The sequence below is a fragment of the Homo sapiens genome, chromosome 7 (assembly GCF_000001405.40).
Source record: "Homo sapiens chromosome 7, GRCh38.p14 Primary Assembly".
NCBI classification, from domain to species: domain Eukaryota; kingdom Metazoa; phylum Chordata; class Mammalia; order Primates; family Hominidae; genus Homo; species Homo sapiens.
In genome coordinates, this window is record NC_000007.14 from 6,227,359 (window position 1) to 6,246,908 (window position 19,550).

Here is a 19,550-nt window from a genome sequence, read left to right on the forward strand (position 1 = left end):
AAGTCAAATAGTACTGAAAGGCTCATAATGAAAAACATATGTTCATCTCAATAGATGGAAAAATAGCATTTGATAAAATTCAACAGCCCTTCCTGATTTAAAAAAAATCATTAAACTAAGAATAGAAGATGTCTTAACCTAAGTGAAGGACCTCTGGCAGAAACCTACAACAAGCATCAGACTTGGAAGCGTTCCCACTACAGACAGAATCAAAACGAGGATGCCACTATCAGGGCCCTTACTCTACACAAAAGGCTTTAGGCAGCTTTGCCAAGGCTGGAAAACCTCTGGTTGGGGCCCAAGTAAGCAAACCAAAGGGAAGCATTTACAACAACTATGTTTTCAATAATTACGAAGTTTGTATTCCTCCACCCAAACGGGTTGTCAAATTCTCTGTGCATGTTCCAGGCCAATACGATATCTCATAAACTTTATTGAGAATGTTCCTGAACATGATGGTTTCCCAAGCAGAGAATTCCACAGTGAATGTGAACAAGTAACCTTACTGGACCTCGGCTGAACCAGGGTATACAAGTGCTCACTTTCTGGAGAATGAGAACCTGATGTTTGCCTCAGGCCTGTGTTTAATTATGAAAATGTGGTAGGTGGGCTAGATTTCAACAACAACGAGATAATTGCTAGGGTTCACTCTGACTCATTCTCCTATTTAAAAAGTATTTAATAATGAATGTGGAAATGTGAAGCTTTCCCTTATTTTATGTTCTTATTTAAGTATTTAACTCTGCTAACCCAAGGCTCACAAAAGAATGGTCAAAGAAATTATTTCCTTGATTCTCTATTCCCTTTCATTACCTCCAGCCATTTCTGCTCACCTTTTTTCCAGTTTCAAAGAGGCAAGTTAAAGAGAATGATCATATAAGTACAGCACATTCATAACAGAAAATCATGTGTCCCTGGCTTAGAGGGACCTTTTCCATTTTTTATATACATTTGCTTTAAAGCTTATGCTTTTCCATGTACATGGGACAGAACAACATATGTAACATGCCCTCTGGCCAGGGCCCTGTTCAAAATACTCAGCTCCAAATATGGAGTCTTCTAGGGGGAGGGGAGGGGTTGGAAAGAAGTCTTTGTGAGAAAAGAATCAAGTTCTCAAGTTGTGTGGGAGGGTAGGATTCAGGGGTCAGGCCACACTGAGAGATCCAGGCTGGAAGCAAAGAAACTCCCCCCAGATGACCTTAAAAATAAAAAATGAACAGTTTTAACACAAGTAGAGGAAGCAAAAGAACTTCTTATCTGCATCCAAACCATGCTCAACTTTAACATTTCGCTTCTGGAAATCCGGGCTGCCTCCCGCTCTGAGCAGGGTCCTCCCACACTTTCTATCAACCCCTCCCACAGACCAGATCCACAAAAGGATTCCCTCACACTCAAGAACACGGCTGTGTTTTTAAGAATGTAAAAATCCGCCCCTTTTTAAATAGATTTCTTCCTTCCACTTAATCTTATCTTCTTTTCCTTTATTCCTCTGGTGGGAAAAATATCTAATTTTGTTAGACATTTTTATTGGTAATTAGTGAGTTATTGAGGATGCAGTGACAAGGAAAACATAAGACACTGTGCAATCGCTGTCCGAGCCCCTTTATTCTGAAGGCTCCTAGGGCACATACGAACAGGATACAGAAAGCCACTGTGTAGACATATGAAGATAACCACACCCCCTCTGAGCAGAGGGAACAGATGTTTAACAGCTGTCTAGCAACAGAATAAAACAGTGGAACAGAAGTAAAACCTGAATTAGCCAAATAAAGTGTAGAGGACCTAAAGAGGAACTATGTCGTTATCAAAGTTGGCCAGAATGCCAGCCTCTCCTTACTTGCTTCTCTTCATCTGCTACTCCTCTATAGCCAAAGAAAAACAATTAACACCTAATTTTACATATGTCTAAATAATGACAAAACATTTGTTTCTAGTTTAAAAACAGTCTCTTTAAACTTATAAAGAAATTATACTTCACTGATATCAGGTGTGCTCATTTTCCTATGAGACACACAGAATGAAGAAAGCGTGCTTGCTGCGGCAGACTCCAGGAACAAGCAACAGTGGTCCACCGCCCAACTGCACCCTTACAAGCCTGTGCAAGTTATCTAATCTGCTTAAGCCTCAGTTTTCCCAGCGGTCGAGTAGGGCTCATAGAACATATCTCAGGGCTGGGCGCAGTGGTTCACGCCTGTAATCCCAGCACTTTGGGAGGCCAAGGTGGGTGGATCACCTGAGGTCAGGAGCTCAAGACCAGCCTGGCCAACATAGTGAAACCCCGTCTCTACTGAAAAAAAAAAAAAAAAAAATTAGCCGGGCATGGTGGGAGGTGCCTGTCATCCCAGCTACAGAGGAAGCTGAGGCAAGAGAGACACTTGAACCCGGGAGGCGGAGTTTGCCATGAGCTGAGATCACACCACTGCACTCCAGCCTGGGCAACAGAAAGAGACCCTGTCTCAAAAGAAAAAAAAAAAAAAATGGAATTATCTATCTCAGGCTGGGCTGGGTGGCTCATGCCCGTAATCCCAACACTTTGGAAAGGTAAGGTGAGTGATAGCTTGAGGTCTGGAGTTCGAGACCAGCCTAGCCAACATGGTGAAAACCTGTCTCCACTAAAAATACAAAGTCAGCCGGGTGTGGTGGTGCACACCTGTAATCCCAGCTACTCAGGAGGCTGAGGTAGGAGAATCGCTTGATCCTGGGAGGTGGAGGTTGCAATAAGCCAGAGATTATGCCACTGCACTCCAGCCTGGGCGACAGAGTGAGACTACATGTCAAAAATAAATAAAAATAAACATAAAATAAAAAAACCCATCTCAACTCAAGGATGGTTGTGAGACCACCAAACAAACTCAGTCCGAATGGAAAGTGATGCATGTGGCCGTTATTATTGTTGCTATTATTGTTCTGATTATATTAACCACTATTAACATTGGTGCCTCAGCTGGAAACTTACAAGGAGTATATCTCCATAAAGCAGAGTCTCAGGCACCTACAGTTAAGATACCTATTCCCGTTCTACCGCAGGGAAAAGGGAACTTAAGCTGTATAGAATAACTAATGCAAATCCCAAAGAAACAAAACTAGTCAAAAATAAAAACCTGGAATCCTAATTATCATTCTGCTTACTCTATTAGCCACCAGACTTAAAATTCTGTGTCTTAGGGGACTGAAATTACAACAGGAAGAATAATCATCACAGTGGGGTTTACACGGTGAAAAAAATGTAAGAGACCTAAGCGTCCACAATACTAGACACAGCAAGTTTCATGCCACGGATCCAATGCAGCCACATAATGACAATGTAAACCTTTACTACATGAGAAGGATCCAATGCAGCCATGTAATGACAAGGTAAACCTTTACTACATGAAAACAAGTCTACAACATAGTAAATGAAAAAAAATGGGTACAACACTCTAAGTACATAAAATCCCGTATTTTGAAAAAAGTTATACAAACCAAAAGGTTGATAACGGTAGGATTATAGGTAATGTTTATTTTCTTCTTTGTAATTTTCTATAATTTTTTTAAGAGCCTGTACTTACACAATCTCAGGAAAAAAGTCAATAAGGCCACTTTCATCTTGAAATCAGTGATTTTGTGGCTCCACACAGAGCTGTTCTCACAGACTTCCTACTGTGCCTTCACTTTCCCCACAGTCACCCCAGCCACTCGGCTCCCTGAGTTACCCAGGCCTTTCCCCTCTCACCTGTACTAACCCACGCCTTAGACTTCATCAAACACTACTGCCTGCCTGCTCTCTCCAGACAACTGTCTGCAGTCGGATGATGCATGAGTGGGGACGGGCAGAGGGCTTCTGCCCTCCTCACGCTTTCTGTTTAGTTAGTAGGGAACGCAGCACTTAACACTCAAATGTATTATTTCAAAACACTGATAAACTCTACGAGAGAAAAGAGAAAAGGGACTTGGAGGAGGAAGAGGAGTTGGCCAGACCAAGAGTGGGGACTGGGAGAAGAGCCTCCTGGGCAAAGGAAACAGAGTGAGCACGAAGACTCCAAAGAGCCCTGCAGGAGGGCAGAGCCTGCTCACAGCTCAGATGATGTCAAGACAGCGTCTCAGTCTTTGCAGGGTGGTGAGGCCGGGGTGTCTCCCAGGCAGCCTCACCCAGCAGTGCTCATCTCCAGGACTGCTTTACGTGCCAGGAACAGATCCACCTCTCAGGTACACACACACATTCAGCACACTGGAGAAATGTATGTATCAAACCAGTGTGCCCATGTATAAATTAACAATAAGAAATAACAGCTACCAAACAAATATGAGTCTTTGGCCATATAGTTTACTGCATTCTCTCAATGCTGATTGATCAATTCATAGAAACAAATAAAAACTTATCACAGGTAAGAGAATCCTAGATATTAACATGATTATTATCCCCCAAGTGGGGATCCCATTTATAATTGGAAAATTGTCATGTGAGCACATGATCAAACCAAAGGGCAGGAGCTCAAATAATGGTTTAAAGGCATCGGGACCCGGGCCACAAGGCACCCTGCTAACACCACCTGAATCTTCACTGTCGGAACAGGCTCTCCAACGAGCCTGATCTCCAGAGAAATTATTCTCTGGCCATAACCTGCAACAATTTACCTGTTCTGCTTTCTTGCCCCCGTTTGCATCTGAGTTTTAAACTTGCCTCTTTTCCTGATCTCTCTGCACCCTCAAGACTTTGCTTCCCTCCCAGTTCAGCACCAAGATGCACCTTTTTTTGAATGGCTGTCTTACCTTTTACCCTTCCACTAGACCCATTGCCAATCCCCAATCCTTGATAAGCATAACCACCCTTAAACTCATTCCAGACATATGCACAATTCTGGTTATTGAAACAAACCAGCAGGCTAATTGGTTCTCCAATCTTGGGAGTACCACAGCCAGATTCAAGGAGGCCTTAAGAGTTGCAACTACAAGAAGCACCCCGGGACACACTCTTAGATTAAGCAAGCTCTGAGTCTGACTGCTGGCCTTGGAGATGCTCTACCCGGCACTCCCACTTCCTATTCTCCATTTATTCTTCTCCCAACTGCTATTCCCCTGCTCCTTCTAAGGCTATCGTGACAGGTGGACCACATGGCCTGTAATGATGGACCACTTGCCATCACAGAAGCAAAAGAGCCAGGTCCTGGTTCTCCCTGCAGCCTCCTGTTGTGAACCTGGCCAATCGCAGAAGCCCAAACTTCTGCCCAGGGCTCAGACCAAAAAGAGTGTGACAAGAAACAGACAATTTGGAAATCATTTTGCCAGTGCCAGCAACAGCCAGGACTGTAGCAGTGGTGGCTGCAGCAGCAGCCACTGGGCAACCTCAGCCAGACTGTGTGGTCTCGGCTGCGGCTGTGGTTCTGACTGTCCCGCTTCCCTCGTCTACGGTCAGTTTTCTGGGCGTGGCTCTCTGTACTTCCTGTAGGTTCTGTAACTTCCCCCACACCCTTCCAATGATTTCCTTATACACTTAAATTAGCCAGAGTCATTTTTTGTGATTTGCAACTAGGAGCCCTGAGTTTACATCCACTTCGGGTGCCAGCCTCTTAGCCATGGTATTTGGTACTCCTGACCCCCACCTCCTACCTCCCTGCAGCCCTCTGCCCCTTGGCTCAGTTGAAACCACTCTACCACTTCTACTCTCTTACTTCTACAGTCCATTCTCTCTCAGCCTCCTGGTATCACAGGATTCCTCTTTCTTCCCAAGCTCCTTAAATACTACAGCTCCCCAGGCTGCATTCCAGTTGTCTACCTTCCTCATTCTAAATGTTCTCTGAAGTTGCTTTCTCAACTTTAGTGATCACCTAGGTTTTCAGCACACCAGTATACTCAATGCCAGCTAGACATCTCCAATAGGACTGCAGATATATCAGTGTGTCCAAAAAGGAATTAATTACCTTATCCTCTACACACTGTTTCTCCTACTCCACGCCTTCAAGTCTTTACTATCAAGTTAGACAAGCTTTAGCTTTGACCCATATCTAAGAGGTCACCAAATCCTGCCAATTCTACCTTTGTAACTAGTTTTTGTTTTGTTTAAAACAGTAAATGACTTTGGGAGGCCGAGGAGGGCAGATCACGAGGTGAGGAGATCGAGACCATCCTGGCTAACACAATGAAACCCCATTTCTATTAAAACTACAAAAAATTAGCTGGGCGTGGTGGTGGGCACCTGTAGTCCCAGCTACTCGAGAGGCTGAGGCAGGAGAATCGCTTGAACCCAGGAGGCAGAGGTTGCAGTGAGCCGAGATCGCGCCACTGCACTCCAGCCTGGGTGACAGAGCGAGACTCCATCTCAAAAAAAAAAAAAAAAAAAATTCAGTAAATGTGTCTCTTCATCTCAGTCCCAGCGTCTACCCTGTTTCAGGGCCTTACCACCAGTCCCATCTTTCTAACTGTCTTGGTCAGTTTGGGCTGCTATAACAAAATGCGAAAGACTGGGTGGCTTGTAAACAGGAATCAATTTCTTACAAGTTCTGGAGGGTGGGGAGTCCAAGATCCAGGTGCCGGCGGATTCAGTGTGTGGTGAGGGCTGCTCTCTGGTTCTTGCACAGCTGCCTTTTCTCTGTGTCCTCACTTGGTGGAAGGGGCAAGGCAGCTGTCTGAGGCCTCTTGTACAAGGATCTCATTCATGAGCTAATCACCTACAAAGAACCACCTCCTAGTACCATCAGGCCCACCTCCTAGTACCATCACCTCAGGGCGAGGATTTTAACAGGAGTTTTGGAGTACATTAATATTCAATCCATTACAACATCATATCATTATCTTTCTAAATCGCAGAACTGATCAACTATCCAGTAACCTTTATCAAGTGCAGCAGGAGTCTTGTGAGGGGGACCTTCCCATGTGTTAGAGGCCACTGGAGATCCCTGTTAACAAGGGAGAGTTCTGGAGTGGCCCTCTCTTAGTTATCCAAAGATCAGTGAAGGAGGCACCCACTGCCCTGGAAAAAGAAGAGAAGTATCTTCTGGGTTCTGACCAAGGACTGCCTTCCCAAGAATTGAAAACTCACTGGCTAATTCTGCATCTGAGCCACAGAGCCTATTGGAGGAAAAGGAGAGGCCCTCATTCCTTCCCAATAGAAGTTCAAAAGGAACACGATTTACTGATGTCCCCAACTGAGGTTTGCTGCAGGCAAGAACATCAAAAGCCCCATAGAGGAAGTCACCATGGGAGGGTGACTCAGGCTCAACACCAAGGCCTGGATGCTCATGAAGAGGGCTGGTCTCGGGACATCCCACACCTGTGACTGGAAGCCCCTGGGGACCCGGTGACCTGTTGAGCAGCTGTACTTAGTGAGTAAGAACTGGGTGCACGAGTGCAAACTGGGAGAGCTGTAGCTCTAGGGCCCTCCAGCTCTCCCACCGCGTGGCAGGGCTAACCCCTTTGAACAAGATCAACCCTTGGAGTTCTACAGGACAATTCTTGGTCAAGAAAAGTCACCCTGAAGGAGACACTGGACTTCCTGCTAATTGGTAATAAGAGAGCTTGAGTAATTTGTTGAAAATAATAATAAGAATATGAGACGTGGCCCAAGTTGGTAAAGAAGGTCATTCAGTTATCAATGGTTCTTCCCCAGCTACTCAGCAAGAAAATGAGAGCCTCTGATCCCTCACTTCAGTGCCTTGCATCTGGTCCTAAATGATGTTCCCAATTTCATATCCCACCAAAACCTTACTCACACCCACCACTCACTCCCCAAGAGCATCATGCTCCTTTGCCATGCGCATGTATATTTCCTCCTCACAGAATGCCTGTCACTTATCCTTTAAGGCTCGATGACCACCTTTCCCAGCACCTGCCCTGATCCACGCAGTAAGAACTGCTTAGTGGGCCAGGCGTAGTGGCTCACGCCTGTAATCTCAGCACTCTGGGATGCCAAGGCGAGCACATCATTTGAGGTCACGAGTTCAAGAACAGCCTGGCCAAAGTGGTGAAACCGATGTCTCTACTAAAAATACAAAAATTATCTGGGTGTGGTGGCACATGCCTGTAATCCTAGCTACTCAGGAGGCTGAGGCAAGAGAATCGCTTGAACCTGGCTGAGGGTGCAGTCAGCCAAGATTGCACCACTGCACTCCAACCTGGGAGACAGAGGGAGACTCTATCTCAAAAAAAAAAAAAAAAAAACTGCTTAGTGCTTGCTAGATCATGCACCACATCTCAGCCAGTTATTTCCACAGCATCCTCACGAAGCTCCCTAAGAGCGGCCCCTAGGTCCTGCCTAACTCCGTACTTCTCAGAAACCTACCACGGGTTCTTTCTTATACACGGGAGTCGTTAGATACTACACTGAAATAAAAAATACAACATGTCACATGTGAGTAAAGCAATACAACAGCTGGTAGTATCTTGCTGCTCATTTACAATTTTTTCTAGTCTTGGAAATCAAGCAAATTATAAAGCCATTAGAGACAGAAACCCCACTCAAATGTGGAGTTTTCTATTCTCTTCCCACAACTCTATACTACCAAAAGAAGAAAAGTCTCCCGCTATAAAAACAAAACAAAACAAAACGACGAGTAAGTTGAATCAGTACAGGGCAGTAGCTCCAATCTATTGCTGTAAAGAAATTATTTTGAAATGTTTATATTCACATTTCTTCACCTAGGATTGGCTATTGCTTAAAAATGAAACCAGCCTAGCCAATTCACGAAGTCACACATGCATATCCCCTCCAACAATTAAGAGCTTCAGCAAACCTGACTACCTGATACTTAACTACTCTAGGATTACATCCGAAAGGATGAAGACAGCTGCGGAATCTTAAACTGTATCATGCAGACACAGACAAGGGTTTTAGAAATGTTAATATATAGGATATATTAACAGAAAATAACCCCCCCCTTATTTTTTTTGTGAGACAGAGTCTTGCTTTGTTGCCCAGGCTGGAGTACAGTGGCACAATCTTGCTTCACTGCAGCTTTGACCTTCTGGGCTCAAACAATCCTCCCACCTCAGCCTCCTGAGTAGCTGGGACTACAGGCGCACACTACGCCTGACTTTTTTTTTTTTTTTTTTTACTTTTTGTACAGACAGGGTCTTGCTATGTTGCCCAGGCTGGTCTTGAACTCCTGGGCTCAAGGAATCCTCCCAACTTGGCCTCCAAAAGCACTGGAATTACAGGTATAAGCCACTGCGCCTGGCCTGCAAATAACTATTTCTTATGATTAAGTCCACCACCCCTCTTTTTTATTGTTGTTGTTTTTGTTTTTTAGGCAAATTCTCGCTCTGTCGCCCAGGCTGGAGTATAGTGGCATGATCTCAGCTCACTGAAACCTCCACCTTCTGGGTTCAAGCAATTCTCCTCCTGCCTCAGCCTCCTGAGTAACTGGGATTACAGGCGCATGCCACCACACCCAGCTAATTTTTTGTATTTTTAGTAGAGACAAAGTTTCACCATGTTGGCTAGGCTGGTCTTGAACTCCTGACCTCAAGTGATCCACCCGCCTCAGTCTCCCAAAGTGCTGCGATTACAGGCGTGAGCCACTGCGCCCGGCCAAGTCTCCATTTTTCTGACAGTGTACCTGTTACATATGAAGTAGTGTTTCAAAGAGATTTTCAAAATTTACAAATTTCCCAATTAATGTTCTACAAAGACTCTCATGGTCAGTAGGCCTAGATCAGCTTCCGAGTTTTGGTGAAATGCATTTCTTTTCACAACGGCTCACAGAAGGCTCATGTCAAAGCAGAGGAGTACTTGCTGGAGAAGCAGCTCAAAGAATTCCTGATCAAAGGAGACAGCACTTAGAACCAGAGCAGCTCCCGCCTCGGCAGGCGTTGCTTCAGCTCTCCCAGAGCGAGTTCTACACAAACTGTCTTCTCAATCCACTTTTAGACTAGAACTGTTGGTCTGATAGGCACTGGAGGTACAAGTGCAACAACACTGCCGCAGGGAACACAGTTGCCTGGGGAACAGTCTGAGCTATGTTAGTTTTCAGAGGACAGCTCACATCCCACTGATAAAAGGCTGAGAAAATAAATCTACTACACTGACGAAATTAGTTACAAAGAAGGAAGCACCCACCTTTTCCCATCCCATCTGATTTCTATTAAAAACACATGCAGCCCGGTGTGGTGGCTCACACCTGTAATCCCAGCACTTTGGGAGGCCGAGGCGGGCGGATCTCCAGGTCAGGAGTTTGAGACCAGTCTGACCAACATGGTGAAACCCCGTCTCTACGAAAAATACAAAAATTAGCCAGGCATGGTGGCACGCGCCTGTTATCCCAGCTACTCAGGAGGCTGAGGCAGGAAAATCACTTGAACCCGGGGGGCAGAAGGTTGCAGTGAGCCCAGATCGCGCCACTGCACTCCAGCCTGGGCGACAGAGCAAGACTCTATCTAAAAAATAACAACAAAAAAAAACCACACATGCAATGTTTATTTCCAAAAGTATTATTGCCAATTAGAAGGTTCCACGTATATGTCCAAGCAATACACAGAAACTTGACTACTACTTGTAAATGTATGTTTACTCTCTTCCTGTAAGTCTCAAAAGTCAGCCAACTTCCAAGGATAGCAGGAGTGGCAAACCCAAGGCTGAGGAACACGTGTGCAAGTATCATCCTATAATGCTAGAATCTGGCCTGCAAATCAGTTTGGCTGAGATGTTACGCAATGAGTATAGAGTCAGCTATAGGTAAAGATACCAGGGTCCCCACTCATTGTAACATTCTAATTTATAGAAGAAAATGCATTTTAAATATCCTAGACAATCTGTATACTTCATCAAGTCTCCTTAGAGGTTATTATTGAAATCCAGGAAAATGACCACAGAACTTACTCCAACCAGAATAAGAATGAACTACTACTATTTTAAGAGTTAGATGTGAGCTTTTGCATTGCTTTTTAAATTCACTTCAATATTTTTTTAATTGTGAATCTTAGTATACATTTAATTCATTCATTTATAATCAAAAGAAACAACCTTGAAGCACAATTCCTCCCTACAGGTTTAAACAATTTCTACTAAAGGAAATGATTTACTCCTCCTCTAAAAAGAACAAAAGGACAGAGAAATAAGTATTGAAAGATTAAAGAAATGATGGCTAACAAACAAGATGAAGTTCAATAAAGACTAATGAAAGTACTATGCTTAGTAAAGTACACTAAGCTGTATGCTTAGTAAATACATTACAGATAATGTCAATAACCTATACAAACAGGCAGGCATATTGAGTAAGCAAAAGTAAATGTAAAAAGAAAGCCCTTCAGTGAAACTGTTCTGGATGATACTATAACGGTGGGTACTCATCATTACATCATTAAACATTTGCCCAAACCTATAGAATGTACCATAACCAAAAGTGAATCCTAATGAAAACTCCAAGTGACAATGACATGTCAATGTAGGTTCATCGACTGTAACAAATGGACCACTGTGGTGAAGGGTGTCGACAGCCGGGGAAGGCTGTGTGCACGTGGGGGCAGGGAGTATATGGGAGCTCTTTATTTTCTGCTCATTCTTGCTGTGAACCTAAATCTGCTCCAAAAATAAAGTCTATTTAAAAGGGGAAAAGATTGGAAATCAGAACTCCAGGTTAAAAATAATAATAATAATAAAAAAAAGCCAAGCACACTGGTTAGCACCTGTAATTCCAGCACTTTGGGAGACCAAGACGTGCTGATTGCTTGAGGCCAGGAGCTCAAGACCAGCCTGGCCAACATGGCAAAACCCCATCTCTACAAAAAATACAAAAATTAGCCAAGCATGGTGGTACATGCCTGTAGTCCCAACTACTCAGGAGGCTGAGGTGGGAGGATCACTTGAGCCAGGAGTTGGAGGCTGCAGTGAGGCTATGATCGCACCACTTTACTCCAGCCTGGGCAACAGGGCAACCTTTATACTTCATCAAGACAACCTTTATATTTGTTGAGAGGGGAGGGGAGAGGAGAGAAGAGGGAAATGGAAGAGAGAAAGAGAAGAGAAGACGCAGCCCTTCCTTCCTAGTCTCTGCCCACCACTGCCCCGTCTCCATCCCCAGCTCTGACCTCTCCCCTTTAGCCAACATATAAGTTCCCAGAGTTTCAACCACCATCTTTAAGACAATGACTTCCAAAGTTGATGTCTAGCCCTACTATCTCTCCTAAGCTCCAAACCTACATCTCCATATGGAGGGTCCAAGTGAACATTTTCAAAACAGAATGCATTGGCCAATGCAATTGGACAAGAGACTAAAATCAGAAGAAAAATTAGAAAAGAGGAGATAAAACCATCACTTGCTAAAGAAATGACTGTGTAAGTGGAAAAATCCAAGAGAAGCAAATGAAAAACGTTTCTAAAAACAGTAAGATAATTTGCTAAGCAAATGAGATATAAAATTAATATAGAGAAATCAATAGCTTTCATAAATTCAAATAACTAGTTAGACACTAAAGTAGAAAAGAATACTTCATTTATGATAGCAATAAAATACCAAATATCCAAATAAATTTAATAATAAATGCATAAAACATATGTAAGTAGAAGGAAAACTAACACACTTGAATGGTAACAGACTTGAACAAATAAGGCATATCATGTTCTTGGAAAGAAAACTGCAATGTCATAAGGATATACTTTCTAATTCATAAATTTAACGTAATCAGAAACTGCAACATCATAAAGATACATTTTCTAAGTTAATTTATATATTTAATGCAATCAGAATGAAATTAGAGGCTGGGTGCAGTGGCTCACGCCTATAATCCCAGCACTTTGGGAGGCCAAGGCAGGTGGATCGCGTGAGGTCAGGAGTTCGAGACCAGCCTGGCCAACACAGTGAAACCTCGTCTCTACTAAAAACACAAAAATGAGCCAGGTGTGGTGGCAGGCACCTGTACTCCCAGCTACTCAGAAGGCTGAGGCAGAATTGCTTCAGCCTGGGATGTGGAGGTTGCAGTGAGCTGAGATCGTGCCATTGTACTCCAGCCTGGGAGACTCCATCTCAAAAAAAAAAAAAAAAAAAAAGAATGAGATCAGAAGCTGTTTCTTTTCTGTTGATGAGCAGATTCTAAAGATCACAAGGAAAAACAAGCAAGCAAGAATAACCAGGAAAACTCTGAAAATAAAGAAAAATGAGGTGGGGAGGGGAGGAGATTAACCCTAACTGATACTAAAATACCATGGTCTCAATAAGTAAAACCATGTCATGCTGGCATCTGAATAGACAGAATGGAACAGAATAGTAAATCCAGAAAGACTCAGATGGTACTTTAATATATGATAAAAGTGGCAAGGTAAAGATGAACTTTTTAATAACTGGTGTTGGGACAATGCAGCCTTTTGGGGAAAGAAAGTTGAAGCTGTATCTATACCTCACGCCACACATCAGAATAAACTCCAAACAATTCAAAGATTTAAATGTAGAACATGAACACAGAAGTACAGGAAGAAAACAGATAACATCGGCAAATTCTTTTATAATCTTAGAATGGCCTTCCATTCTAAGTGTGACTCATAATTTAGGTGTGAAAAAAGAAAAAAAGGAGGCCAGGCGCAGTAGCTCGCGCCTGTAATCCCAGCACTTTGGAAGGCCAAGGCGGGTGGATCACGAGGTCAGAAGTTCAAGACTAGCCTGACCAACATGGTGAAACCCCGTCTCTGCTGAAAAAAAAAAAAAGCAAAAATTAGTTGGGCATGGTGGCATGTGCCTGTAATCCCAGTGACTCAGGAGGCTGAGGCTGGAGAATCGCTTGAACCTGGGAGGCGGAGGTTGCAGTGAGCCGAGATTGTGCCACTGCACTCCAGCCTGGGCGACAGAGTGAGACTCATCTCAAAAAAAAAAAGAAATACATTTGGTTGCATTAAACACACACATGATCTTCTGCACGACAAAAACAAAACCAAAACCCAAGTAAACCCAAGGAGTCAAAAGAGAAATGGTGAAGTGGAAGATAACATTTGCAATCCATGGGAACTAATCCCCTACTATGCAAAGACCTTCGAGAATTTGAAAAAGACTAACAACCCAACAGATAAATGGGCATATAACCAGAGAAGAGCAAATGCAAACTAAACGGAAATACCATTTCTGACCCATCAGACTGGCAAAAATCCGAAAGTTTGACAGACTACCTGTTGACAAAACTGTGGGGAACCAGGCAATCTCACACATTGTTGATGGGTGTAAAAAACAGTGAGTGTGGAGGGAAGTCTGATAACATCTAACAACATTTTAAACACATTTTCCTTTTAGCATAAGAATCCCACTTCTGAAAATTTCTCTCTCAGATAAATGTGTAAAAAACGGCATATTCACATTCTCTACAACATAATAGCGAAAGATTAGAAACAATCCAAGTGCCCATCAATAAGGTACTGGATAAATAAACCGATCCATTAGCACAATGGAATACTATAGAGCTGTTTAAAAAAAGTGGTGGGGTTGCAGTGGGGAGGGAAAGAAAGGGCTAGAACAAGGCCTAGAGTACAGGAAAAGCTCAATTATGACAGCTATCAGTTTTAAAAAAATAAGGTGCGAAAAGGCTCTGTGTAGCGAAATGATCTCCAGATATTACATGAAAAAGGTGAGGTGTAACAGGAGGCAGTGATAAGAATTTACATTTTTATTATAATTGCATAAATAAACATTAAATGCATAAAGAAGAAACTAATAATTATTTCTAAGAGGTAGGACAGGGGACAGAATAGTCTCATTCATGCTTGCATATACCACTGTAACACAATAAACACACCTTTACACAAAGGAAGGGAACAGGGCAGAGGGGTTTTTTCTTTGTTTGTTTTTTGAGATGGAGTCTCGCTCTGTCACCCAGGCTGGAGTGCAGTGGTACAATCTCGGCTCACTGCAAGCTCCACCTCCCAGGTTCACACCATTCTCCTGTCTCAGCCTCCCGAGTAGCTGGGACTACAGGCGCCCACCACTACGCCCACCTAATTTTTTGTATTTTTAGTAGAGATGGGGTTTCACCGCGTTGGCCAGGATGGTCTCCATCTCCTGACGTCATGATCCACCCGCCTCGGCCTCCCAAAGTGCTGGGATTACAGACATGAGCCACCGCGCCTGGCATTTTTTTTTTTTTTTTTTTAAGACGGAGTCTCACTCTGTTGCCCAGGCTGGAGTGCAGTGGCACGATCTTGGCTCACTGCAACCTCCGCCTCCCAGGTTCAAGCGATTCTCCTCCCTCAGCCTCCTGAGTAGCTGGGACTACAGGCACTCGTCACCACACCCGGCTAATTTTTGTGTTTTTAGTAGAGATGGGGTTTCACCATATTGGCCAGGCTGGTCTCAAACTCCTGATCTTGTGATCCGCCCGCCTCGGCCTCCAAAAGTGCTGGGATTACAGGCGTGAAGAGGGGCCTTCTTAAGGGACTCTATGTAGGTCCAGGATCATTTACATTTTCAACAAGTGAAGGCCTAAAGGGGGATGAGCTCAAGATTGGAGCCAGATGCTCTGAGTCACAGGAATTCCCTGTCATACTACATTCAACACCATCCTACCCAGTGCCTCCCATACTCCTCCCAGACCCCACTGCCACCCTCTAGGCAGTCCCTGTGCTGGGACCCCAGAATGGACCAAGGGTCACCAATCGTGAGGCTGCACAGAGGCCTGGGAACAAAAAAAGAACCAGGTGAGGGAGACCTGGGTTCCACAATGCAAGTTTCACAGCTTGCCATGGGTGTCCTGGGACATGCCCCTTCAGTTCTCTAGGAGGTAAAACTTGTGCCTCCCAAGGTGACTGTGGTCAATAGATGCACACCTAGTCTCATGATTAATTGCAGGTGCTCTAAAAATGGTATTTCTTCCCCAAAACTTGTCAAGCCAGCAACTCTCTGCCCTAAGTCTGGCCTGAAAAGTTAATAGACATTGAGTGCAAAAATTAGGGCTTCTCACCTCCAGGCATAAGAGCGCAAACTGCCCTTGGTAAGATGAGAAGAGCCCAGCGGGCTGGGCCTGTGTCTCTGTGCATAGAGGAGCAGGTCTGTGAAAAGGCAGCCGACACCTGTGACTGGCCAGGTCTGGCTCTACCACCTGACCCCCAGCAGCGGTCAGTGACAACAAAGCTAACCGAGCACATGCTTTGGGTCAAAGCATGGGTGGGATGGGGCAGGATGGGGGTGGGGAAGCAATGTAATAACATGGTGAAGTTAAGCACACTTGAACCTCCAGAAAGCTCTGTTGGTTAAGAGTTTTTTCCACTTCACCACACTTCTTCTGGCAGGTGGCATCTTAAGGGGATGGGTATTTTGGGAATCCATAAGGGGAGGTTCAGTTGGAAATACATTTGGTTTGGGTTTAGTGGAATTTACTTAGGTGGCTTTCAGCTTCTTCTGCGTATAATTAAATTACAGCCAGCCATTCCAAATGGACAAATGACTTCCTAGAATATTCCTTCCGGCCCTATATCAACTTACCCAATGAATTGATGAAAACTGTAGGGTCAGAGGTGGTATTTTAATATGACTATGTCTTAAAGTAACTAACACCAGGAGTGTGAGGATAATGGAGAAGAAATGAGGTTTGAATCGTATGGAGTCAGAGATAATCTAGGAGAAAACTTTCCAATCACCAGAGAAGTGAATTTTTAAAAAGATTTCATTGTCATTGTTGTCTCATCAAAATGGAAATTCTCTCCTGTTAGGAATATACTTGACTGTTCAAAGTAAGTTATAAATACATCATTTTTTGACATTTTGAAGAATTTATTAGAATTCCTGTATTTACAGGTTTTAAACCTGTACTGGTACTAAAATAGTAAGTAAGCCTGTGTTGAAGTTGCATGTTCTATGCAGCCCAACATACAGAATTGCATCTTATGTATCTGATGCATTTTGTCCTGTCAAAGTCGGACACTTTCAGACTTCACAGAAGAAATGGCAGAAAAGAATGTTACCAAAGCAACAAAACAGCCTGGGGGGAAAAAAACAGGTTTTCAGATGACAAAACTCCTAAACCTATTCATCTAGAGTCAGGATTGAATGACGTAACTCAACTTCGTGGCAATTTTTAATGAATTTATTTCAACTGCTTTTGCATGTGCATTAATTACAGACTAATTGCTTTTAGAATGCTTTATTCTGTGTATTCTGAAGTACCCTAGTAGAATCCAAAAACAAACTGAAAGGAAAAAGACCAGAAGATGCTTCAAAATGTCCGAAAAATTATTTTTGTTTTGTTTGAGACAGGGTCTTCGTCACCCATGCTGGAGAGCAGTGGCACAATCATGGCTCACTGCAGCCTCAACCACCTGGACTCAAGCGATCCTCCTGCCTCAGCCTCCTGAGTAGCTGGGACTACCAGTATACACCATCACACCCAGCTTTTAATTTTTTTGTAAAGATGGGGTCTCACTACATTTCCTAGGCTAAATTATTGTTTTAAAATGGAAACTTAAAACTTTAATGGTCAAAACCTTGAAAGAAAGTTTCTTAAATGTTTTCAGTCATCCTGGAGGAAAGACTGGATTATCTTTAGTCTAGTCTTTTATTTTATTTTTTTGAGACAGATTCTTGCTCTGTCACCCAGGCTGGAGTGCGGTGGTGCAATCTCGGCTCACTGCAACCTCTGCCTCCCGGGTTCACGCCATTCTCCTGCCTCAGCCTCCCGAGTAGCTGGGACTACAGTCACCCGCCACCACGCCCGGCTAATTTTTTTTTTTTTTTTTTTTTTTTTTTTTTTTTTTTTTGTATTTTTAGTAGAGACATGGTTTCCCGTGTCAGGCAGGATGGTCTCAATCTCCTGACCTCATGATCCACCCGCCCCGGCCTTCCAAAGTGCTGGGATTACAGGCATGAGCCACCGCGCCCGGCCTTCTAGTCTTTTTACATAAAATGTTACAAAATTGCTACGTGAAGAGATTAGAATAGGTAACCAAAAATGCAGGGGGAAAGTGTAAGGTTGTGTGCCAAAGAAAGAACTGTGTTATATGGTTCTAGGTTTTGAGTTGTTTGTAGTTTTAGCTTTTCAAAATGTACAACTAGTGACTTCTTTTTCATTCTAAATTTTCATTTTGATACCTAAATTTGTATTCTTTTTCTGAAAGAGGGCCCTCAGAATTAGAGAGTTTCAGGCCCCACAAATTCTGGCTCCTCCTCCACTGACTGCTGATACTCTGATGGGGAAGCTCACACTGCTCTCTACTTTCTTTTTCATCCCAGCCTTCGTGACCCTGGGAGAAGGTGCACCCTAGAGAGAATGTGTCCAGCGGGAGCAGGCTTCTTCCCTACTTTCACTCATCTCCAGCCACCACCCAAGCGTTTCTACCTCCAAGACCTTCACAAAGGTTTGTCCAGAATTACCTCAAAAGAGTTTGGGGGCCGGGCATGGCAGCTCACGCCTGTAATTCCAGCACTTCGGGAGGCCGAGGCAGGCGGATCACCTGAGATCAGGACTTGGAGACCAGCCTGACCAACATGGTGAAACCCCGTCTCTACTAAAAGTACAAAAGTAGCCAGCCATGGTAGTGCACGCCTGTAATCCCAGCTACTCAGGAAGCTGAGGCAGGAGAATCACCTGAACTTAGGAGGTCAAGGTTGCAATGAGCCGAGATCGTGCCACTGCGCTACAGCCTGGGCAGCAAGAGTGAAACTCTTTTTTATTTTTTTTGAGACCGAGTTTGGGGAGGAATCACAAATGATCTAAATTTCTAAACAAATACATTTCACAAAATGGATTATCTCCCATTAACCCTCTCCCCAAAAAAGGTACTTGCTTCTTAAAGATTTTCTAAAACACAGGGCAAAATAGGTAATTATCCTCTAAATAATTTTTAATTTTTTTTTTTAACTTTTTTGAGACAGTCTTGCTCTGTCACCCAGACTGGAACGCAGAGACATGATCACAGCTCACTGCGGCCTCAAACTCTTGAGCTCAAGTAATCGTCCTGCCTCAGCCTCCTGAGTAGCATGCCACAACACCTGGATAATTTTTTTTTTTTTTTTAAAAGAGACAGGGGTCTCACTTTGCTCCCCAGGCTGGTGGCGAACTCCTGCCTCAAGTGTTCCTCCCGCCTCAACTCCCAAAACCGTGGGATTATAGCCACGAGCTACCATGCCAGACCAAAATTCTAAGTAAGTTTTAAAAGCCAATTTACAAAACCAAATACCATAGAATTTTTGCGTGACATGACCTTATCCTGTGATCAAATTTATCTTTTGTTTTCCCTCCTCCAGCGAGGAATGCATATATCCTCACACATGTAGATGTGTGACGTGGAATGTGAACATCCTACTTTGAATTTTCTAGTGATTATCTTTAATTTTTTTTTAAAACCATACCACTACCTGTATTTTTCTAATTATCAAAAACAAAAATAAAACAGTAAAAAATAAAGGCTGGGCTTTTACTTTCTCCTAACAGTCCCTGCCCCACCCCCACCTACTTCTCAGTTTCTACTAGTGAATCTGACCCAGATTTATTATTGTTGGCATTGTTACTGAATAACTGGGATTTTTCTCTTTCCATTACATATCTTCTCTTTCAGTATTTACAATATTTGACTTTTCATTTGTAACATCTGTAATCAAGTTTATAATTTAGACTTAAATTTATGTTTACATGATTTCAATTCAATGTCAGTATTTTTTTTAACACCACAAGTT

The 19,550-nt window shown here is 43.4% G+C and overlaps 1 protein-coding gene across 3 annotated transcripts in view, besides 1 other annotated feature; it reads right to left on the reverse strand.

Annotated features, from left to right (window-relative positions):
- The window catches only part of CYTH3 (cytohesin 3), a 110,846-nt gene that overhangs the window by 65,580 nt on the left and 25,716 nt on the right, over positions 1–19,550 (reverse strand). The gene's annotated exons all lie outside the window — the stretch shown is intronic.
- Positions 940–1,234: a silencer, noted in NCBI's record as "tiled region #15593; K562 Repressive DNase unmatched - State 5:Enh". NCBI's record gives its function as "represses a minimal TATA promoter and a strong SV40 promoter by Sharpr-MPRA in K562 cells {active_cell/tissue: K562}" and the evidence as "EXISTENCE:reporter gene assay evidence [ECO:0000049][PMID:27701403]".